This window comes from Homo sapiens, chromosome 13 (assembly GCF_000001405.40).
Source record: "Homo sapiens chromosome 13, GRCh38.p14 Primary Assembly".
Taxonomy (NCBI): Eukaryota; Metazoa; Chordata; class Mammalia; order Primates; family Hominidae; genus Homo; species Homo sapiens.
This window is the reverse complement of record NC_000013.11, coordinates 43,636,964-43,661,692: the sequence shown is the minus strand read 5'-3', so window position 1 is coordinate 43,661,692 and position 24,729 is coordinate 43,636,964. Positions and strand designations below refer to the sequence as shown.

General features: G+C 39.3%; 1 protein-coding gene across 28 annotated transcripts in view; it reads left to right on the top strand.

Moving 5' to 3' along the window:
• Window positions 1-24,729, top strand: part of ENOX1 (ecto-NOX disulfide-thiol exchanger 1) — a 573,843-nt gene that overhangs the window by 125,280 nt on the left and 423,834 nt on the right. For 8 of the 28 annotated variants that reach the window (XR_007063686.1, XM_047430422.1, XM_047430417.1 and 5 more), the window contains one exon: window positions 1-24,729. This exon is cut by the window's left edge and continues 5,852 nt beyond it. The exons of 19 other annotated variants lie outside the window; for them this stretch is intronic. The gene's annotated coding sequence lies outside the window, so the exon portion shown is untranslated. One more of the 28 variants, XM_047430421.1, reaches the window with a different exon arrangement.

Genomic DNA, 24,729 nt, shown 5'->3' with positions numbered 1-24,729 from the left:
TGAAGTGAGTTCTCTCACATTTTTACTGCCAAGGAATCCAGGCCAGCTTCACATGACTTTGGATCTCTGTATTATTTAGTGTCTTAACTGTTTTCTGTGACCAGACTTCCTGCCCTATACAGTATTGGCAGATTACATTTTTTGAAATATCATTTTAACAACATTACTCTTTATTCAGAAAACATCAATGTCTCTTTGTTGTCTACAAAATTGTGGGCTCATTGTACTTTAGAGTTCATTCCCTACTACTTGGGTTTGAAAGCATCTGTGTTCAGACTTGTCCAGACACCCGTCTATACTTAACTTCCACCGGCCTCCTACCCAGACCCTATGGGGAAGACAGATTCGTCTCTTCATTCTGTCATCCCATTTTGCAACGCGCACAGTATTCTGCATCAAATCCTCTCATATCTATATCCATCCAATTAAAGTCAGTTCTGCTCCAGGCAATATAGTCCTTAAAACTGCACATTATCAAAACCTGTGCTATAAAGACAATTATTTCAGTGGCATAAATAGTGTTGGAGACTTGAGAGTTGCAGGGGCACAATAAACAAAGTTGTTTTACCTGAAGTTATTTAAGTAATAATGGTATTTTCTATCTCTGTAAAAGTATAACTTTAAAACCTGAACATCACGAAAAAATGCATTTTATTGTATCTCTTTTTATAAGATGGTAGTGAACTAAGCTGGTATTTTAAAAAATTGTTTCAACATCTTAATGATCCACTATTGTGAGAAATGGAGAATAAAGACCTTAAAACAGCTGTGTTGTAAGCAGAAGAGCTTTTTTTTCCCTTATGCCAGGAGCCCTAGTCTGCATAAAATAAATTGTATTCCCCAATCAATTGATCACTTTATACCTAATACACATTATGCAAACTCTGCAGAAGAAATGTCTGTAACACTTATTTTTCAAAATGGAGTTTAAGGTCCTTTTTGCTCCAGTGAGTTTGCCTTTTACCATTCTTCCTTGCCTGGTGATTTTTCTCTCTGAATACTCTCTTTTAGGTTAATTATCAATTTAAGGACCTCTTTAATTGTTCATCTTTTTCAGAAGTTTTAGAGACTGTTTTGAAATAGAGACATATTTTTATTTCCCACAATGTCCAATATATCGTTAGGGCAATGATATACTAGTTTATAAGAGCATGCGATTATTAAATTTAGTTTCATCTAAATCCAAAAATTGCTATTTTCTCTATTTCCTGTTCCTCTTGAATGTTGGGCCTTGGCTTAATGTTTTTGAGGGAACAAAAAAGAGTAATCCCCATTTCAATGTCAATGCAAAAGGATAAAGACTGACTGATCATTTTCAGATTAAGGATAAATACATGTGTTAGTTCCTGACCCTTCTTGAAACTTCATTAAAATGATGTTTAAGGGATTTTTATTTTAAAAGGCACACACCGATGAGAGCAAAGAAATAGGGCAACAGTTACAGCACTTTGGGATTTGGGATATAGATGGATGACTGCTAACTTACTTAGCAGACCTGAGAAAGTGAAATTTTAATCTAGCAGAGGAGAAAGGAAAAAGGTAAGCCAAATTATACTGATGAACACTGCAAAAACTCAGGAACAAGAACCCCTGGAAGGGAGAGTGGAGATACAGTTGAGAAGTATTGGTTGAAAGTTCAGATCTGCTTCCTAACTTTATACAAGAAGGAAACTGCTCCTCCACTCCAACAGAGGGATGAAGATTATGTTTTCTATAGAGTTGGTAAAACAGAAGGTTTCTGGATTGAGAAGTATCAGGAAAGGTTAAAAGTGGTATAATATGGTCCTGAAATGTGGTAGATTGTGGATTACACTGATTTACCAAATCCCAAGAATGACAATACCTTCTGTTCTCTGCTCCTTAGCCTACAGGCAGCTAAGGATACCTTTCCTGCAGGAAACTCCAGGAAACATCCCTGGGACTCTAACCTAAAAATAGAACTCAAGGATACTGATATCAGGGATTCCCTCAAGGAAGGGCCTAGCCAGAACAATTCTAAAATAAATCCTATATCAACAACCACACTCCCAACCTTTCTGTGGACCTTCTAGTGCTCGGCCCTTAAATATCTCAGACAGCCAAGGATCGTGAGACATTTAAGGAAATGTCTAATATCATGAGAGAAAAAAACTAAAGCATGCAAACAAAAAAAGCAACTTGGAGGAAACAACCTTAATAGGAAGAAGAAAATTTTTTTTTTTTTTACACAGGGTTTCACTCTGTCGTCCAGGCTGGAGTACAGTGGCGTGATCTCGGCTCACCACAACCTCTGCCTCCCAGGCTCAAGCGATTCTCCCACCTCAGCCTCCCTAGTAGCTGGGATTACAGGCGCGTGCCACTACCACCTGGCTAATTTTTATATTTTTAGTGGAGATGGGGTTTCACCATGTTGGCCAGGCTGGTCTTGAACTCCTTGCCTCAAATGATCCACCTGCCTCTGCCCCCCAAAATGCTGGGATTATAGGTGTGAGCCACAGTGCCCGGCCAGAAGAATAAATCTGAAAAAAGAAATCATCAGTATCTCCAGACAGATAAGGCATGATATTATAACCATGAAACACAACAGAATTTATAAGGGTTAGGAGGTGAAATTAAGGAAATTTTCAAGAAAGTGTAGTAAAAAGAGAAAGAATAGAAAATAACGTAGAAAAAATAAGAAGCTTAGAGGATTGGTTCTTACATCCAAAAATAGTACACCAGATTCAGAGAACATAAAAAATGGAGGACAGAAAACCATCAAAGGAATAATTCACCAAAATTTCTCAAAAACAGAAGTTTCCTGATTAAAAGGGAATAACAACAGATGATCATGAAACTTTACAACACTAGAATGTGGTCCAATAAATGATATGGTAAACTAATAAAAAGAAAGACCTGGTATCCCAGAGATAGGACCAACACAAGAGCGAGGCGAAAAGAATTCACAGGTGATGGTAAAAGAGATCTCAACAGCTGTGCACTGGACTAGTGATCAACTGATCTAAATTGCAGTAGGTAGAGGGATTCAGGAGAGAGTTCTTCAAGATGGTAAAATTGATTAAACACCTAATGTGTTTGCTCTGAGAGGAGATTTACAGATCTTGGGGAGGCTTTGGGGATAGCATCATGATAAGTACATAGGAAACTAACGCAAATTAAATATAACAATGATTAATTCCAAGGAAGACAAAAAGGCAGAAAATGAGATATAATCATAGAACACTACATGATTCTAAGGATGTAAATATGGATATTTAACACAACCAGAATTATTCTGAGAGGATGGGAACATGAGGCATGCGTGTGTGTGATAAAAAACCTAACCCTCATCTTCCTCATTGGGAGGTCAATCAATAATACCTGAAATCAAAAAACTAAGAAGTAGTAAGAGAAACATGTTATTTAAATCAGTGCATATAAATTTTTGTCTTTAGTATGACAAGCATAGAAACTGATACTAAATAATGTAGGAAGCTGGAGACATTCATTTGTAGAATATTAAGTAGATATAAAACTTCAAATAACATATTTTCAGATTTTTTCAATGAAAAACCTGAGCTTGCTTTCATAAACATAACTTTTTATATTTCTTATATGCCTGAAATGGCTGAACACAATTCTTGATCAATATCTTAATGATTCTCTCTTCAAATTCTTTTTAGTCATTGTCAGTGAGATACTACACAAGTAGTGATTTTTAAAAAAACAAGCCATTTCACCACCGTTTCATATTCTATAAAAGTTAAAGTTATCTTTAAAAACATTAATAGTTTTAGCTTTTTTCTTTGCTAGACAAATGCAATCCTCTGATAATTCCAACAGATTTCAAATTCAACTAATTTTTTTCCTATCAAGTAATTAAAATAATAATGAGGCCCGAATTTATAAACTGTGTGTTTATTGTTAGAGCAGTCACTCCATAGGTAGCCTGGATGCCAGTAAAAGACGATATTTGACTCAACTGGAAAGAAATGTCTGGTATGTATAGACAGAATTTTTGGGGCTGTCCCTTGTAGCTTTGCCTACCAGGCGCTTCTGCCCACACCTTTCTAGAGCTCCACTTTCAACCAGCTGTGCCTTCTATACCTGGAATGAAACCTCCTCCAGCAGCTACATGGACTGCTTCTGCACAAAGTGAAGGGGTGCTTTCTGCAGCAGCCTGTTGACATGGGTGTCCATGGATGTTTCTAGTGCCTCTCAGCAGAGCCATGAGGACCATGCCTTTATACCTTGAGGAAGCTGATGGCCAGGTGTTATCTGCCCAGAGGCACCTGCTACCTCAGAACCCCACCTGATTCCCTGAGGCTGAGAGACATCCATACCTCATTGCATACCTGGAATCAATTCTTTGCACAATAGTGAGCCAACACCTACTGATTTCCACATGTGGAAACAAATCTAAAATAATTACTTAAAGAATTGAAAGCAGTTATCTCTGGGCCTAGTCCTATGTAACAGTTGAGACTATATTATGAATAAATTGGTTTAAATACATACTAATGTTTAAAAATCTCTTGTGTAGTCTTATTGGATCTTCCAGACCTTTTGCCCTCTCAAAAGATTGGACAGAGCCGCTTTCAACTTTGTTTTTATGAGATGAGATGACAAAATGTGGACTATACAACTGTGGACTATGGTCTACTTCTTAAATGCAGAGGCTATTTAGTTTGTGGATTATCCACATGCCATATTTTACCCCAAGGATTAAGATAAAAGGAATATAAATCTGAAGATAGCAAGCTTCATTTTTTAATACAAGGAAAAAGATAAGTTGAAATTCATGATAAATATAGATTGTGTTTTGAAACTTTGATTATTTTCCTGTTGTCCCTTTAACATGTTCCTGGGGAAGTTTATAATAATGATTTAGGAGAAGAGGTGGGAAACTGATAAATTAGCTGAAAAAAAATAGAAAGGCGCTTGAGAATACATAGCAGAGAACACACTTCTTTCACAGAGGGTACTGACAGCGTGGTCTATTTGGTGCCCTCCAGATTCAAGGCTGAAACTGGAAACAATGGTGCTTTAATTTGCTGCACAGCTAATGGGCCTGCTGATTTGTTCTCATTTTTTAGTCCTATAGTATGTCCTTAAAACCCTCTCAAAGGTTTATACTTTTAGCCAGAGGTCTCTGTGCTTCATTTTCCCTTTTGTTCTCTAAACACTTAGGTTGCCTCTTCCCGATTCATCTTCTGAGAGGCTCAGCGTAATGTATGGTAGGAATTGAATAATTTGGATGAAGCCTGTGACATGTCTTGATGATGTTAAACCACTCAGAATCCTAGGAAATAGTCCCAGCTTGCATTAGCAGAAGATTAATGCAGGTGATCTTTAAAGTCTTAATTTTAAAAAATTTACATTTTTGCCAGTGATGATTGAAAAACACTGGCATTCTTTCTGCCTGCATTACTGATTACAATTGCAAATACTTGCAAAAGTACTAGAATGGCATCTAACTGTTCCATAAGGAGCAGAGAATTATTTTACCCTTTTAATGGCTATTAAATATTTAAAAAACAATTTTCTAAAAATATATCCATAACTATATGTAACATGGGCATAAATCACAATGGGAAATGTATTCTGATACACATGCATAATAAAACTTGCTGGATAAGTTTATATGTCTAATTTGCCAAGAAGAAATTTAAATTTTTGAGAGGTTTCTTACTTGAGACATCATTATGAGAAAAGGCAAAAATAGGGGTCTTTTGGATGAGGTCAAGACAGTGATTACTCACATTGTTACTACCGTTTTGCCCCAGGATATTCTGGATATGAACCCAAACCTTAAGATCCCCGAATCAGGAATGGTGGAAAACCATGGTGAACTAGTTATTTGGAAGGTGGAATCAAGGAAACCCACCAGCTCTTGAACTTTTCCAGAACGGGAACATATTAAGAGGAGAGGTAATGAGAGCAAAGAGTTTGTCCTGCTATCTGGAGAACAGAGAGGGTACAGTGAGCCTTGGAGAGCAAGGGAGTGTGGGGAGCGGTGGGGCAGGTTGCAGACCACAGCCAGGAAGAGGAGAATCAAAGGAGTCAGCTGTGGACTTGTAGAACTGGGGTTGAAATTTAATTCAAGAAGAAACATTTGGAACATTTGGCAACAAGTGACATGATCAACATGACATTCGGGTAGATGATTGTTGCTGTGTTATAAAATAGCTCAGACAGGAGGAAGACAGTTGGTGCATGCTAAGAATGACTGCAGAAGAGTGAGAAGGAGAAGGAATTTGACTTGATGACAGGACTGATAGAGAAGACAGAAGATAAAGGTAAGTTATAGACAGTGTAAGTCAAGGCTGGATTGCTGCCTTGGAGAACAACTTCCATATTTAACAGTCCAAAAAAAACAAAAAGCAAAGTGACCAGAAGATTATCCAGCAAATGTCCAAATGCCTTGTGGAACAGGTCGGTTCTCTTCCCAGCTTAAAAATCATGGAATGGTGGACATGGAACAGTTTGCGAAACATAGAACTTTGCTAAACCAATCATTTCTCTTTTGGATGTGCTATGACTGTAGTCCTTGCCCCACCCATTCCCAGAAGATCATCCAGACACCAATAAATAAGGAGCGCGGTAGGAATTAGAGGTCAAGGAAGGAGGCATAGGTCTGGGGATCATCAGTGAACACAGCAGTGGGGTCTGAGTGTATGGATGAGCATTCTGTGTCACAGAGTGAAGAAAGGGAGGAGCAGAGGTGTGGCAGCAAATACTGTGAGATACTTCATGAAAAGGCCAAGGAACAAAAAGAAACAGAGTGGTTGGAGTGGCATTAAACTCATGGAATTGTTTGATCTAAATTTAAGTGGATACTTGCTTCATTGGGGTAAACAGTCTGATTAGTGTTTTCAGACTATACATAAATGAAGGGATAGTTCCATCTCTCAAGACTTAGGAACCACAGAGAATTCAGAATATAAATGCAGCAAGCTGAGCCCCAAAACCTTCTGGGCTCAGCCACCAGAAAGATTATCATGAGCCCCTTTTCTTTTACAAATAAAATTCACCCTTATTTGTCTTAGGGTTGACTATGGAAATTCTTTAAATGGATATCAAGAAGGAAATCTTCCAGTAAATTCTGCACTGCAAAGCAGTAGCATTATTTAAACAAAGAATACATTAATTTTTACATTGCAATCAAGATCAACCAGCACTTACCCATCCACCAGAATGCATTATAATACTGAGCACTTTTTTAGTTCTACACTGAAAATCCCTTTGAATCCTGTATCAGTGTTCACTAGACAGAATCTGTCTATCTATACATTAGATACATAAATATGTATTTATGAAGAGATTTATTTTAAGGAATTGGCTAATGCAAATGCGGTGCTGGTAAGTCCAAAAATCACAGGGCAGGGCAGCAGTCTGAAAACTCAGGCAAGAGTTGATGTTATAGCCTTGAGTATGAAATACGTAGGGCAAGTTAGCAGGCTAGAAACTTAGGCAGGATGTCTATGTTACAGTCTTGAGGGAGAGCTCCTTCTCTTGGAAACTCAGTTTTTGCTCTTAAGGCCTTCACCTGATTAGATGAGGCCCATCCACATGATCAAGGGTAACCTCCTGTAGCTAAAGTCAACTGATTATAGATGTTAATCCCATCTATCAAATACTTTTACAGTAACATCTAAACTAGTGTTGGACTTAAGAACTGAGCACTCTAGCCCAGCCAGGTTGACTCAGATGATTTTGCCATCACAAATCTCATATTTTTACTATAGTGGAAAGAGCAGAGTCAGCTGCATTTTGCTTCATTTCCCCAGTGTTGTAATCTTTATAAGGGAGTAAAGATTCTGTTAGTGGTTCAATGGTGGCATTTTTACTGGCACTTTTTTTTTCTGTCAAATTGTTAGATAATTTGTTTGAAAAGCTGGGCCATGTTAGCACCTTATCCCTGTCCCACATGGTGCCAAATGGTCTTGTCTTCTTTGCTTGCTAAGAAGAGTAGGTATGGGAAATGCAAATTTTCATTGAACAAGGTTATTGACTACTCAAGTTCTGTAGTGAGTTTGCTCAGCTGACTATGTGACAGTCACAGGGGATATGGGGAGTTAATATTTTCTGGAAAGAATTTTAATGTTAGAATTTACTGTCTTTTGCACATACAAATTTGAAGCCTTAATGTTATGCTCTTTTGGTTATTTGCATGTAATATGCATGCAAATTCACAATATATACTATGTGCCAAGAACATAAATTATAAATTGGTACTTTCCCTGGTTGTTAGCAATTTTGGCCGCTTTAAAAATTAATACTTTGAAGAAATATATGTTTTCAAGTTTGTTTGTAGTATCTTTAGTTTCCAAAGGAAAATATGTAGTACACTCTCAACCAGGAAGGTAGATCTCTGCTGTAACATTCTCTGGATTTAAAAAGTTGTGCATAATGCTAAAGGTTAGAATGTTTTTATGTATCTTTCCTATGAATGGGTTTCAATTAGGTGTTGCAGATGTTTGTTTCCATTAACAATGCTGAGAAATACATGTTTCTGTAGCATGATTGCAGCCTACTGCAGTCCAGTATACTTGGGGGTGAGTCTTTTCAGTGATAAACACACCTCCAGTAGCAGAGCAGCATATTGTACTTCCAGGTGGAAGAAGACCTGCCTGTGCTGCGCAACTGAGGGCAGGATACTCCCAGAGAGGGACTCTGTAGCCTCTCTGCCTGCCATTGAGGCTTGTTGCCTTGGCAACTAAAACACAGCCATCCATCCTTTCCCCAGGCAGGGAGCTCCAGTCATCCTTGACTTTGCCATGACCTTTTCTCCTCCCCTTTACAATCTGTTTAGGGTTCTGCCATGCATCTCCCAGGCAGCTTTGAATTTTCTCTCCCTTGGAAATCTCCAGGCCACCTCCTGGTTTTGTCTTTCTCCTTTGGACCAATGAATGCTCATCACCGGCATTCCGGCTACTCAGCTTGCTTACTTCTTCCTGAGTCCAAAGCAAGGCCTCCCAGACCTTCCTGCCCACTATGAAAGTCAGGTCATCTTGCACTGTGAAACTCTAGAGTGCAGCATTCTCTGCAGGGTGCAAACATCCATCCTCAACTTCAGTAGTCTGCTCTCACACACTATTTGGAATCATTTTAAAAACTCTTCTGTCTGTGCTGTACATCTTTCATGACTTAGTCACCCTCCTCCACCTTACTAACCCTATGGACCACTTTATCCTCTATGTTTCTAAGTTATTTCGTCTTGTGAAAAATCAGCCCTCTTTAAGTGGTCCAGAGCAAGGGCCCTCAGCTGACAAGTTTTATTGGTGGCACCATCACCACCACCATGACAGTAAATATTATCACTAACTTCTGTGCCAGCATGTTAGCATACTACAAGTAGCTACAGAAAATGGGCCTGTGGACATTGACTCAAAACTTAAGTTAGGGCCTCTGTGTTATTGTGAAGCCTGGTCAAGGGCTCAAGTAGGGATGAGAATCCATCTTGGTTCTGCTCTTCATTTATGTCCTTGGAGATGGCTGGATCTGCCAGGATTAACCGGTGACTTCCACCCCTCCACCCCTGACTCCTGTTCCCTCCAAAAAAGTGACCTGTAGATAGTCAAATGGTGCTAAGGTATAGACCTGAAGAGGCATCATTTTCTGATTCACTTTTGGGCCAAGTAGGCATTATATACTAATTTGCAGCTGGGTACTTTATAGGCTTATAGAGGCCTTCACTTACAGAATAGATATAACAATCAAAAAGATTCAAAGTGAAGTTTTTTTTTTTTTTTTTTTTTTTTGAGACGAAGTTTCACTCTTGTTGCCCAGGCTGCGATGGCACGATCTCATCTCACCGCAACCTCCGACTCCTGGGTTCAAGTGATTCTCCTGCCTCAGCCTCCCAGGTAACTGGGATTACAGGCATGTGCCACTACCCCCGGCTAATTTTTGTATTTTTAGTAGAGATGGGGTTTTACTATGTTGGTCAGGCTGGTCTCGATCTCCTGACCTCTCAAGAGATCTGCCCACCGTGGCCTCCCAAAGTGCTGGGATTATAGGTGTGATTTTTTTTTTTAGACAGAGTCTCGCTATGTCGCCCAGGCTGGAGTGTCGTGGTGTGCTCTCAGCTCACTGCAACCTCCGCATCCTGGGTCCAAGCGATTCTCCTGCCATAGCCTCCTGAGTAGCTGGGATTACAGGTTCCTGCCACCACACTCAGCTAATTTTTGTATTTTTCAGTAGAGACAGGGTTTTTCCATGTCGGCCAGGCTGATCTTGAACTCCTGACCTCAAGTGATCTGCCTGCCTTGGCCTCCCAAAGTGCTGGGATTACAGGCAAGAGCCAACATGCCCGGCCTCAAAGTGAAGTCTTTTATCACAAGGAGAAAGTACTAGGTAAGGATAATTTAATTTTGTAACCATTATTGCATCCTGGCAAAATTTTCTGCAGTAGTTTCTTCTCCTTCCCTTCCCTCTTCATCCCTGTTCCTCTTCTCCTCCTTCCCTCCCCCTCTTCCTTTTTCTTCCTCTTCTTCCTCCTCTTCTTCCTTTTTAGATAATAATCATAGTAGCTAATAAATGTATAACATATTCTGACTGGCTGAGATGCATTTTTCCTAGGCTTGATTGTATCATTGGAAACTCTAACCACAGAGGTCCCATGTGCTGTGGGTGGAGCAGCCTTCTAACTGTCATAGAAACACGGAAGCCACATGCTAGATTTACATAGAGCTTAGGGGCTCTGAGTGTAAGAACTGGAGCTTGACTCATTTTTGGCATTCAGACGTGCACTGATCTCTCTTATAGCTTAGGATTCCCCAAAAAAGGTTGGATTGAGGGACGTGATGAGGTTCCTGAACAAAAGCCATGAGTGAAGAAGTCTGTTAACGTGGACCAGACCGACCTATAGGAGTTTGGTTTTGTTTTGCTTTTGAGACGGAGTCTTGCGCTTGTCGCCCAGGCTGGAGTACAGTGGTGTGATCTCAGCTCACTGCAACCTCTGCCTCCCACGTTCAAGCAATTCTCCTGCCTCAGCCTCCCAATTAACTGGAATTACAGGTGCCCACCACCGTGCCTGGTTGATTTTTGTGTTTTTAGTAGAGACGGGTTTCACCATGTTGCCCAGGATGGTCTCGAACTCCTGACCTCAGATGATCCACCCGCCTTGGCCTCCCAAAGTGCTGGGATTACAGGAGTGAGGCCACCATGCGCGGCCAAGCTCCTGGGTTTGAAAGTCCCAGGGGCAGTGGTTCTAGGTACCTCCCCTGACCTAATGAGCCTCCCCTCAATTCCCCCTACTGGCAACAGACTCCTGCTCACACAAAAAACAAGTATACTATGGCATGAACGATAGCTGTGTCATAACGCAGGGATCAGTGAACTATGGCCCTTGAGGAAAATCCAGCCTGTGGCCTGCTGGATTGTTTATGCATTTTTAAAGGGTCATAAAAAGAAAAAAAAGCAAAGAAGAATATGCTACAGAGACAGATGTGGTCTTCAAAAGCTAAAATATTTACTATCTGGCCCTTTATTGGTAAAATTTGCCAGCCCCTGCCAAGAACTGGTCAGTGATACCTAACGGTGTTACTTTGGCAGCCCTGTTTTGAAAAAGCAAGGCTCAAGAGTGGAAATGGCTTCCCTGATGGTGAGGCCTTGAGGTTCCTTCCCTTCCCTCTTCACCCCATTCTTTGTGCTGTAGAAGAAGTTGTCTTCCGTGAGAACGTTGTCAGAGGTGTTGATGGTGACTGGTGGATGGCAGAGTGATGAAGGCATGTGGAGCAGAGGAAAAGTTCAAGAGAGTAGGAGAGGAGGGTTGTCAGGTAGCAGGCCATAAGTCTGACTGTCAGGGAATCCTGGAGGGAGTAACTGAGGAGGGGATCCCAGGAAAAGCTCAGACTTGTTAGTCCATGCTTGGAGCTCAGAGGATTGGGACTTAGGCTGTTGCCTTAAATACAACATATCTGTAGCGCTAGGAGGCCAAGGGACTTTTGGTTTGCACTTGTGTTCTATAGTTTACAAAGTCTTTCTCATTTTGTGAGAACCCTCTGAACCAGGCAGTGTGTGTGCTACTTTTGACCTCAATTCATAGAGAAAAAATGGATTGATGCTATGTCAGGGAAATGTCTTCTTCAAGGTCATAGAGTTATTATATGATGAAGTTGGAAATCAAATCTAGATACTCTGGCTCTAAAACCTGAGCACCATTCTTGGAATCAGTGAATTATCAAAGTGTGAACTCTGCACCTCTCACCCCCAACACAAAAGCCATCTTACTAGATATTGTTTATTTGTAAGTTCATTATATTAACATATACAACACTAGAAATGGTTAGAGTAGCTTCAGAATTGGATTCATTTTATGCCTCAGCTTAGCCCCTTCTCACACAGTAAGGCATCTGTAGAACAAACTAACCAGGGTGTGAAGGTAATTTGCGTTGCCCTGCATTGTTTGCGTGTGTCTGGGAACTCTGGGTTGAGACAGATTACTTGGATGTTCTAGTTTTACTTTTATAGACAACCTATGAAAGGGGTAATTATGAGATGTAATTATTGACACTATGACAACCTGAATAAAAATTGAAGTTGTTTGTACTATTTTCCCATAGATATTAGAGCAAGACATTACAATAAATGAATTGAGTGGCCTGTTTTGTGTGTGTATGATTTGGATATCAGAGACCATCATTCCTACATGATATGACACTTTATTTGCCACCTTCACGCTTTGACATTTTTGTCATAACTAAATGTGCAGTAGAGACAGCTGTGGTCTGCGTAGGCTCTAGCACTGTGTCTGGGTCTAACCCTGAGCAATGCATTTGGTTTCAGAGCCAGTGTCGCTGATACAGGTTGCAGCCAGCACAGGGAAATCTATCACAGTAACAGCAATGTAGCCGTCACAGGGAGTCTAACCACATCCATATTCAGATAAGGAGAACGCTGAGTACTCTCACTGAAAATGATATGCAGGGACTCTGGGATAATGCTGCCTTTACACTGTTCATAAAATATGGTAAAAATAAAGCCTTAAAAGTCATGCTTGTGAAGAGTGGAGACAGGAAAATTAGAGTAGCAATTCACACAGCACACTTTTCCTTGGAGTGAGAAGTCATATCAATTTCTCAAAAACAGGTATTTCACCTCTTACAGCATCCATAAGAAGGCTAGGTCAGCCACGAGTTAGTGGCTTATGAACTCTCTTGGACCTTTGCTTAGCTGGCAAATGTCATTTCTTAGCCTTCCATCCACCCAAATCTGGGGTTTCTGTTTCCCCAGCTCTGCCCTCTGTGTTCTCTATCTCATCATCTTATTTTATTTTCTTCACAGCACTTTCTACTGTTTGCAGTTATCTAATTTATTAATTGGCTGCTTAATCTCTATCTGTCAGCTTTGAGTTGTAAGCTGCGTGGTTGCAGAAGCTGACCATGGCTCTCTGGTTCACTGTTGTTTTCTGTAGCCCAAAGAACAGTGTCTGGGCTGTGGTAGGTGCTCAATATGAATAAAAAAGATGAATCAATGAATGAATTGGTGAGTAAATACATGCTTTCCTGTTGCTTAACCCTACAGAATAGTCCCAGTACTGGGTTATGATCTTTCCCTAGTGGAAGAATCCAGAGATTCTATTGTTGCCCTAATAAATTACCACAAACCCAGTGGCTTGAACAACACAGATGTATAGTCTTAACAGTTCTGCAGGTCGGAAGTCCAACACAGTTCTCACTGGGCTCAAATCAAAGTGTCAGCATGGCTGAAGACTTTGGGGGAGATCCATGCTCTTGCCTTTTCCATTTTCTACAGGTCACACACATTCCTTGGTTGTGATGCCTTTCTGTCTTCAAAGCCAGCAATGGTGGGTCGAGACCTTCTCATTCTGCCATCTGTCTGGTTCTCTACAGCTGAAAAAGGTTCTTCGTTTTTAAGGACTGATGTGATTAGATTGAGTTTACTTGGAAAATACAGGATAATCTCCCATCTCCAGGCCATTAATCATAATCACATCTGCAAAATCTATTTTGCCATATAAGGTAACATATTCATGGGTTCCAGGAAATAGACGCTGGACATCTTTGGGGGTTTGGTGGTAGTCATCATTCTGCCTGTCACATGGATTTATTCACAAAGGGGGTATAGGGATAGTCAAGCCCAAAGCCTCATTTCTCTTCCAGAATGTATATTGCAGAACAGAGAGTCTTCCTAAGTCATTTATTCATTCCACAAGAAATATTTGTGGAACTTGTCACATTCTTCTTGATAATTTGGTTCCTGATGGCAGAGTGAGCCTAGATTGCTGTTTTGCAGGGTTGGATATGGAGACCCTGGGGAAGTTCACCTGAATTCCTAACCAAGCCTGACAATCAGAAATTGGGCTTCTAACCAGAAAGGGATCAGTGTGTCTAAAAGGGACTCAAAGCAGTTGTAGTGGTAGCAATGGTGGTGTCAGATACAGTAGTTTATTTATTTTATTCAATCTTTATAATAATCCTACAATAGAAGCACTATTATTATCCCCATTTTACACATGATGACACTAAGGCACACAAAGGTTAAATAAATTGCCTAAGTGACTGAGCCAGGAGTGACTGGCTAATGAGTGAATGAGACAGGATTTAAAATCTCAGGCAATCTAGCTCTTGACTGTGTTCCCTAACCACTGCACTTCCCTGCCCCTTACAAGGTCCATTAGAGAGTAGCCAAAGACGCCTCTGAGAGGGCCAGAATGGGTGCTGAGACCATCTATTGGCCTCCTTGGTTTTGTGAAGTAGAGAGAACATGGAATGGTAAGAAGCTTCTGCTTCCTTGGTTACCAGATCTGGGCCTGGATCAAGCCACTTCAATTCATTGAGCCTCTGTGAAGAGAAAATAGAAATTTTGCTTGTCTGCATCTCTAGTGTGGGAGAAGGATAAAACGATTATTGAGACGTGCTCTGTAAACGTTGCCCGTTACTATCTAGTGTTGTATCCATCTAAATGATGAGGCGAGAAGGGAAAGTGAGTATGATCACCTCAGTGCCCCAAGACTCTATCTGGCTTTTGTCACCCTGGGGTAAACTGGAGAGCATGATTGAGACATGAAATCTTCCCATATCCTCTGTGAGAGAGGGTGATTGATGACAGGGATTTACAGGTTAGCCTGTGACAGCATGTAATCAATCAGCGCATGAGAAGGATAGCTTGTCTTTGGTGTACAGATGACGATTCTAATAACCCAACAGTGGCCACCAGAAGGAAAAGACTCCTGCGCTTGTCTTCACTTCCTTCATTTCAGTAGCTGCAGAGTCGTCAGGCAGTCCCAAGAATTTCATGTATGAAGATGGTATTCCTTAGTTTTGCCCTAACTGCGTGAGCACAAGTGACAGCTGTGAGTTCTGGGCTTTAGAGGGAGGAGTAAAAATTTACCTTGGAGTTAGCCAACATCTGCAAACACTTATTTAATCAATCATATAGAGCTGTCAAGAGCAGTGAGGAGTCTGAGATTTTAACCTGCCTGTGAAGTAACAAGTTAGCCTGCCTGATTCATACATGCTCGCAGAAGACACGAAACTCCTGGATCAGACATAAAGGATGTTACTGCTCAATGCACAGCAGGCAGCATGGGCTACAAGCTCTCATCTTGTAGAGCTTGAGGGGAACCTCCCTTGAGGGCAATGCAGAGGGGGCCAGGTGGTTACTTCATACCTGTTGGATCTGTGTCACAACTGAGGAACACAGAGTTTAGGAAATAACCAGTCTTATAAACTGTTTCTGGCACACTTGCCCAGCCTTTGCCCTGGAGGAAGGCATTATCTTTGACTCTTGCCAGGAAACAAAATTATCCTCTGTCCTGGAGGAGGAAGACATAATCTTTATCCTCCCAGGCTGTTTGCTTTACAGACATCCTTGAATAGTAGTCTGAGACAAAAGGTACCACAGGGTAGAGAATTGTCACCCAATAGAAACTAGTGCATAATTAGCTAAAATAATGACCATAAAAGGTGTTTTTTAAATATGTAAAATTTTACAAGTGAATTTATATAATCTGAATTCTGAGAAGAACTATTTTCTAATTCTTTTCACTTACTGAGTTCTACTAAATAATTTGGAATAGGGATTCAACCAAACTTGTTGCTTAAATACTCAATTTCCATGGAGTTCAGAACTTCCAATGAATTGGTGATTAATTGATATTGTAATGAAAGATTGTTTACATAGAATGTGCAAAGGGCATATGATTGGTTGTCTCTTTAATCACCTTTAGTTACAGTAGTAAATGAAAGTATACATTTTGTACTTTGACAATGGATGATGCCAATTGAATCTTATTAAAGACTTCTGTGGCCGAGCACAGTGGCTCATGCCTGTAATCCCAGCACTTTGGTAGGCTCTGGTGGCAGGATCAGTTGAGGCCAAGAATTCTAGGCTGTGCTGGGCAATATAGTGAGAACTTACCTCTCTTAAAAAAAAAATTAACTGGACATCGTGGCATGCACCTGTAGTTCTAGCTACTCAGAAGGAGTTTGAGATGGGAGGATCACTTGAGCCTCAGGTATTAGAGACTGCCATGAGCGATGATTATGCCACCGTGCTAGTCTAGCCTGGGCACAGAGTGAAACCCTTCTCTAAAGATATAAATAAATAAATATTTTGGCTAAGAAAAACACACATTTTTCTTTGATTTCCATCATGATTTTTTAGCCAAATTCTTAATGGGAAAACTATTATTTGATACATGTTTCTTTATATTTGATTTTTAAATTAATTAATTTCCAAAATATGTTATCTTTAGTTATGGTTAATATTACAGACCTATCACTGCCTACCCAGTGTGTGGTCAGTGACAAATTGAACCCAAGTAACTCGTATAATCTATGAGATAACCAAAACCCAGATATGTTTTTTAGGCTTAAACTTGGTATAAGACCTGAAAGGTACTGTAAATGTTGGAAGAGCAAGGATCCATGTTCTGCCTGGGTTGGTGTAGTACTGTGAATATGGCTTTAAAGGCAGCTGGATCTGGATTGAACTCCAACTCTGCCAATTCCTAATTCTGCAATTTAACTAAAATAGATGAGCCTCAGCTTTCTTATCTGTAAATTGTATATAATGATTACTACATAATAGGATAGTTATGCAGTCCACATGAAATAAGTTATTTGAAGCTGCTACCTTCCTTTAAAAATGTAAAGAGAATATTGAAGTCAGTGCAGGACCATTATAAAGTTTATTTGATTACTTTCAGCTTGGGTGAAGCTTTAAATTCTTAGTTAAATTCCTTCGCTAAAGCATTCACTTATTGTCTATTATTTTTCTAGTTATCTAGATGCATTGGGGAATTAAAGTCGTCATTTAAAAATCATCCCATGGATATCAAAAGCTCATAAATTGTTAGATGCTAATGGGAAAGTCAAGAATCTGCTTCAACTTATAATTGTAGGCGTACACAGAGCTATCTAGGGAAATGCAAGGGTTGCCTTAAATTCCCAGAATAAAATACTTTGCAGATTTCAAAATATGTCACTCACTATAAAATTAATTATTTACCAGCCACTCACATACTAATCAGGGTTGAAAGTATGAAAGACCACAGGAAAGAATGGATGGTTACCTTTCTATCACAAGTGCTGGTACTAAGAAATAATGATAACTCACATGTGTGTGTGATGCCCTCAGTTTTATGGGAAATCGGGAACTGAATATTTTAAAACTAATTACAATTAATTAAGATGACTAAAAGAGCAATGGCAGTTTGGGATTCTATTTTTACCAAATTAATCTCTCCAGTGAAAAGTAGGAGAGATTTTAGACTTGACAAACAACTTAAAAGCTTTGCGATAGGAATGGAATGAGAAAGCACAATGAGCAGAATAATATTTAGTGAAATTATGTACTCCTTAAAATAAGCAGCTACTGTATTTTGCATGTAAAGGTAGACATGACTGAAGAGGTAGGGAGATGAGGAGAGGAAAGTTAATGTGTTTCAGCATTAACACATGATGGAAGATAAATGCCTTCTCTTGGTATGTAATCTTGATTTGCTGCTACTATGTAGAAAATAGCACTATATCACAGTGCCAGCTTATATTGATATATATTTATGTATATATGGATATTTATATGTATGTGCATGTATATATATATGTGTGTGTATATATATATATATACACACACACATACATACATATACATGCACATACATACAGGATGTCTTCAGATTATATATAAAATGTTAAGGGCTTTACTTAGTGGAGATTGGGTTAAATATTTACTTCTTGCTAAGTATTGCCATATGCCTAAACTTTTAAAATAGTAGCTATTCCAAAGGAAGAAATCAAACTAAACAATTGGGAAGATATATCAAATCTAGTTTCAATTGGTGGTTCATAGAGATAACTGGATAACACTGATGTTACTTCCCTGTTGTCCAGCTCATACTAAATAGGCATCTGTCATGAATGGCCAGGGTGCTGTGCTGGATCTGTCATGACTAAACTGATCACGATCATTAGTCTGTCTTCTTAGTTCATTCACAGCCAGGAGGTAGACGGTGGGGGAACACAAACACTATGTACCTACCCTCGGTCCTTGGCATCCAATGTAAGAGGTGAAGTTTCTGAATCTAACCCCTGCCCTCAAGAACCTTATGATACAGTAGGGGAGCTTGCACATTTGTGCGACAGGACAGTTGTAAACATGTAAATCAATAACAATTTTTCTTTATAAATAAAAAATGTTTTGAGTTAATTTTTACAAGTAATATTTTTCCTACATAATTGTAATTGTTTTACTTTGAAAGACAGTGAAATGACTGTTTCTTCCTCTTAGTTTTCCACTTGTATTTTTCCTTACATTGGACTGTATGATCATGGACACAAATATTAATATTTCATGCCTTTCAGTACAAACATAGCTGTAGTATAAATGAGGAAAGAGAATATCAGCTTACGTGAAGGAAGTTCAAATTCTGAGCTCTATTAGGCAGGAAAATTGATATTCCATTAAATAGAGTAGTTGAGGCTATAGCACGTTGTCTACACAAAGCTGTAGGATCAGCATTTTTTAGATAGTATCATGGATGAGTAGTTAATTAAGTAAAGGAATCCAATCCCAGTGGGATCTTGAGGGAAATGAAGTCTATACTTTCCTCTCCTTGAACATTGGGGCAAATTGGTCTTTGATTCTGTTGAAGCCATCTCTTGGGTGCTTCTGCCCTAAGTTCTGCTTCTGTTACTTTGAAAATCCTTTTTGTTGAAATGACCTTAGTGTCAGTGACACCTATCAGCTAAATTTAATTGCTTTTCTAAAAATACTGTCCTTTTTTCCCAATAATTACTTCAACTCACAGTTAGTTAAAGCATAACATGTTGGAAACTTTCTTGTTTAAACTCTTCCTATTCTTCACCTTATTGGTTAATTTATTTATTACCAATGACCAACTCAGTGTGGGTAGTATTTTTCTCAGCTTCCAGCTCCCAGCTTTCTTTCTTGATATGGCTGAATTTTGAGATACTCAAAGCAAGCAGACCATAAAGAGAGACAGATAAAACTGGACCTGGGTGTTCATATGTGTATGTGTGATTGTGTGTTGGAGGGTTATTATCCCTTTTTAAAGAACTACTTATAGGATGGTGGCAGGACCTTTGAAATTGCAGGCTGAATTGATTATTAGCATATGTAAATTTGGGTAAGTTATTAAGCAACTTTCAAAGTGTTTTTGTTTTCTCTTCTGTAAAATTAGGATGATAATAATATCTAATGATCTTGTTGTAGATTAAATGATGAAAAGCACCTTACAAAGTGAGTGTTACGTAGTAAGTAGTCAATAAATGTTAACATGACTATTATCATCATGTTGTTTCTATCTTGATTATTTGTATTTTATAGCTTTGTCAAACTGAAAACTTCCTTTTGTTTTGAAATATCTTGATAGACGCATGAGACTTCTTTTAAAAAAATTTAAAAAGTGGCCCAGCTTGGTGGCTCATGCCTGTAATCCCAGCACTTTGGGAGGCTGAGGCAGTTGGATCACGAGGTCAGGAGATGCAAACCATCCTGGCTAACACGGTGAAACCCCATCTCTACTAAAAAACACAAAAAATTAGCCGGACATGGTGGCGGGTGCCTGTAGTCCCAGCTACTCGGGAGGCTGAAGGAGAATGGTGTCAAACTGGGAGGCGGAGCTTGCAGTTAGCCAAGATGGCGCCACTGCACTCCAGCCTGGGCGACAGAGTGAGACTCTGTCTCAAAAAAAAAAAAAAAAAAAAAAAATTAAAAATTAATGTTACTCTGTTACTTTTGTGTCTCTGATTTCAGTTGTATTGATTTAAATCACACAATTCCTTATAGAGACTCAAGGGCCTTGGGGGCAGGATCATACCTTACTCTTGTATGTATCTCAAGATAGGGATAGCACTGTTTCAGATTAGGTTCTTAACAAATGTGGACAAAACTCTGGGGCATGGAATTGAGAGGCCTGGATTTGGTTCTTGTTTCTTACCTGCTTTGGGCTTTCTTGGGTCACCTCTCTGAACCCAGGATTTTGAGGTCCTAAAGCCAGGTTTGGAAACCAAAAAGCCTGATGTTTGGGTTCCAGCTTTGCTGAGGGCTGTTCCAAGTTATGTGGGGTTTCCTGATCAGATATACCTTGATGCCCCTCCAAATCTATATTACTTAAATATTTGATGTATATTTATTTAATGGAGGCGTGGGGGAAACAATTTTTAGTTAATAAAAATGTAGTATAGTAATAGATGCACTAAATCATTTGCTTTCTCTTTCCAAGGCAGGATCAATGTTCTGGAGGAAAAATAGTGAAAGATTGTTCTATGTTTTACTTAAGGTTGATTTTGCTGTAGGTTACGTGTGTGTGTGTGTGTGTATGTGTGCGTGCGTGTGTGTGTACGTGTGTGTGTGCGCGTGTGTGTGTGCATGTGTGTATGTGTTCTAAAACAAGTAATTGGGAGGCATATTAAATAATTTAAATCTTAACAATTAAAATATCTCACTTTCTTCAGTCAGTGAGCACCAGCCATGCTTATTTGATTTTACAGTTTTAATACACAGTATTAGTGAGTTATTCAGAGATAGACAGGTGATGCTGGGTAGGTACTCTTTGTGTAGGTGGGTGGAGGTGGAGGGGACACAGTCTTTTCCTATTGAGAATGAGAGTTATAAAGGATTATATAACAAAATTTGAGTTGATTGGTGCATATTACTCAAGTAACTACTTTAGTGCTGTAAAATACATTGGCCTATTGTTGTGAGCCTGCTCCTTATAGGTTTCTGTGTACCGAGCATCTAGAAGAACCTGGTGAGTTGTAGGCATGCAGAAAATAGCATATTTTCTCATGTCTGATACACCATGGATTGCTGGATGCAATAACAGCATTTTAGAAGATAAAAAAGAACAGAGCCACATTTAATGTAGATACTATTTTAAGATGTATCTTGTTTTCAAAAATGTTCAAATGTGAAAAAAGCATGCATCCTGGAATTGAGGAGCAGTGGAATTAGAGATGATAATGAACACCCTGAAATTTAATTTTTTCCTTAGAAAGATTACATTTTTCAATAGGCATAAACTTATTACATGGTTTCAACTACTCAAAGATTAAAAACAGATGCCCTTGTTAGGGAGTATATAATCTACTTTTACCATAATAATTTAGGGAAAATATTGTAAGACTAATTTTGTAAGTTGGCCAGAATATGTATTTCTTATATAATAATATCAAGAGAACAATAGGTAAATATTTTTATTTTTAGTTTTGAGACAGAGTCTTGCTCTGTTGCCCAGGCTGGAGTGCAGTGATGCGATCTCAGCTCATTGCAACATCTACCTCCTGGGTTCAAGTGATTCTCATGCCTCAGCCTTCTGAGGAGTTGGGACTACAGGCACACACCACCATGCCTGGCTAATGTTCATATTTTTAGTAGAGACAGCGTTTTGCCATGTTGGCCAGGATAATCTCGAACTCCTGGCCTCAAGTGATCCACCAGCCTCGGCCTCCCAAACTGCTGGATTACAGGCATGAGCCACTGTGCCCGGCCAAGATTTTTATTTATTGTTAAAATAGCATTGAAAAAAATTCTAAGTGAATCACATATACATGTGAAGTATGTGTTTTTTAAAACATAAAAACCATGTTGGCTTAGAGTCATGAATGCTGGTGGTCTCTTCAGTGACACCAAAAATGCATTATGGGAGGGCATAATTGTCAACTCCAATAATTAAGTGCCTGCTCCTAACTGAGGCTATCTGCATCAGTGCCTTTTATTTCAATCCAGGTCTATTGATAAATAGGAATTGAATCAGGTACTGGTGATCTTAGACCGTCAATGTATCTTCAGGGCAAAACTTTTTAAGAAAATACTAGGTTCTTAAGAGTTTTGTACAATAAACAGTTTGTTCTCATTAATCAATTTTGCCTAATTTCCCAATTTTTTTCTCTTAGTGAAAAGGTTTGTATATGTCACAGTTTTTATTTTTTATTTTTGAGGTGGATTCTCACTCTGCCGCCCAGGTTGGAGTGCAGTGGCGCCGTCTCAGCTCACTGCAACCTCCGCCTCCCGGGTTCAAGCAATTCTCCTGCCTCAGCCTCCTGAGTAGCTGGGATTACAGGCGCCCACCATGGCCAGCTAATTTTTTGTGTTTTTAGTAGAGACAGGGTTTTGCCCTGTTGGCCAGGCTGGTCTCGAACTCCTGACCTCAGGTGATCTGCCCGCCTTGGCTTCCCAAAGTGCTGAGATTACAGGTGTGAGCCACCACGCCCGGCCTGTATATGTCACATTTGTTTTGTGGTGAAAGTACTAATATTCATGCCAATTCTGTGCTGTCATTCCCAAAATTGTATTAATATTCCTAGAAGAAAGGAAAACAAAAACAAAATATTTAGATTTGTAGGAAGTTTTAATCTGAGCCAGAAGTCTCAAAAATTAATCATGTAATGCCATCCATCAAAAGTGGTTTTAAAATCCAATATTTAGATATATTACACATGCATAGCATCCTTTATCATCAGTTATTTCATCACAGTCTAAAGTTAGATGAATCTGTGCACTGCCCCCCACCACTCAAACACATGCATTAACACACACAATTTATATAAACAGATTGTGAAACAGCCTTGGAGAATAAAATACGTAACCATAAATAAATGAAGACCCTGCAATGCTGCTGGGAGACACATGGATATTTTAAAAATCCAGCTGTTTGGTTCTGTTACCTTTTACTATGCACTGCACAGATTTAAACTTTTTGGTTTGCTGGCAAGAAAGTTTACTAGGTTAGGAATCAGTTTCTTAAATTACAGTCTTTGCTAGAGCTCAGTGCAGTTAAGGAAACTTTCTCTGAATTAGGGGGTCAAATATTACAGTTTTCGGAAAAAAAAAAACCCTAGACACTTATGATGATAGTGCAAGTTAATTCCATTTCCTTGGGTGAGGTTTCACTATGAGGACACAATGTACCACTTTGGCTGAGATGCTGTTTTCAATAAATATGGAAATTATGGCTTCCAGTGCTGTGGCCTGGTATGAAATCTCATGGGAAATAGCTTGATACTATGTGATAGATTTGAAATTAATTCCTATCCCTTCCTGAAGTAACCAACCTATATTTACAAGATGTATCATTATTTCTTGGCCATCCAGAAAGATGGGTAAATACAGTCCTATTTTATAGAATGAGGCTGCAGCAATAAAGATTTTCTAGTCCATATCCTCTTAGAGGACGAGTTGAACAAAGCAGGCTCTGCTTTTATTTGTTGAACAAAGTGGGTTGTACTTTTGTAAGTTAGAGGTGCTCTCGGACCCTTTTCCCTTCTATTGCTTTGGCTTTTTCTAATGACTCCCAGCAGAAAATTATAATGGGAGTCTTTCCTATTGCCGGATGAGGATGGTTTTGTAATGATGGATTTCAAATTAAACCCATATTCTCAACTTTGTGAAATCCTGGCAGGGTGAAGGTGAAATGTGTCTGTCATTTTCAAATTATTTGTTAGGGAACAATTAGAGACTTATACTGTAAAATTTTGGGACAGCTGTTTTTAATAGTGGGGGAGGCATGGGCAATGAAAAGGTAGTTTGAAAATCTCAGTGGATAAAGCAGAGATAATCAGAATTTGTTAGAGTGCTATTCTTTAAGTCTTGAATTCTTTCTGGCAACTAGATTGTCCTGAGATCAGAACAATCTAATCCATACATGTTCTAACTTTGCCTTCTGCTGTATCAGTATCTGCAACTAGGAAGGACAGAGAGGAGACCTGGCCTCCCCTGGATGTTTATGAGCTGCAGATCTTCAGGGAACAAAGGCTGTGGACATGCCATTGATTTGGGACCAGTGTTTTTGAGTATCCTTAATTTTTGGTATCATCTGTGGCAGATAGGCTGCTCTCCTTAAGTCATGGCTTCCCGGTTGAAACAAGACATGAGATTAACCCACTTTTTTCATTTCTAACCAAAGAGAAGGAAACTTTGTAAAGTCTTAATAGATTAATAAAAACAAAAGCTTCTGTGGAACATTTTGAGGCTTGGTAAGTTGATTCTGACTAAATCTAAGCTATGAGTGTTGTGTCAGAGTTGGAATTCCATAAAAAGTAGGGAGCTCTGGGCTGAACACGCTGGGCTTTTCATAGCAGCACTCCCAGTCAGAACCATTTGAAAGGTACAGTTTTCTCCATAAAATTAGGTCCACATAGAATGTGGTTCTACTCCATTTGTCTCATTGTGTACGAAGTCCACTTATCCTTAACTGTCATCTCACCAATCCTGATTTCTCATTTTACAGAAAAGAACCCAAAGCCCAAAGAGTTGTAACTTGATTGAAATCTCAAG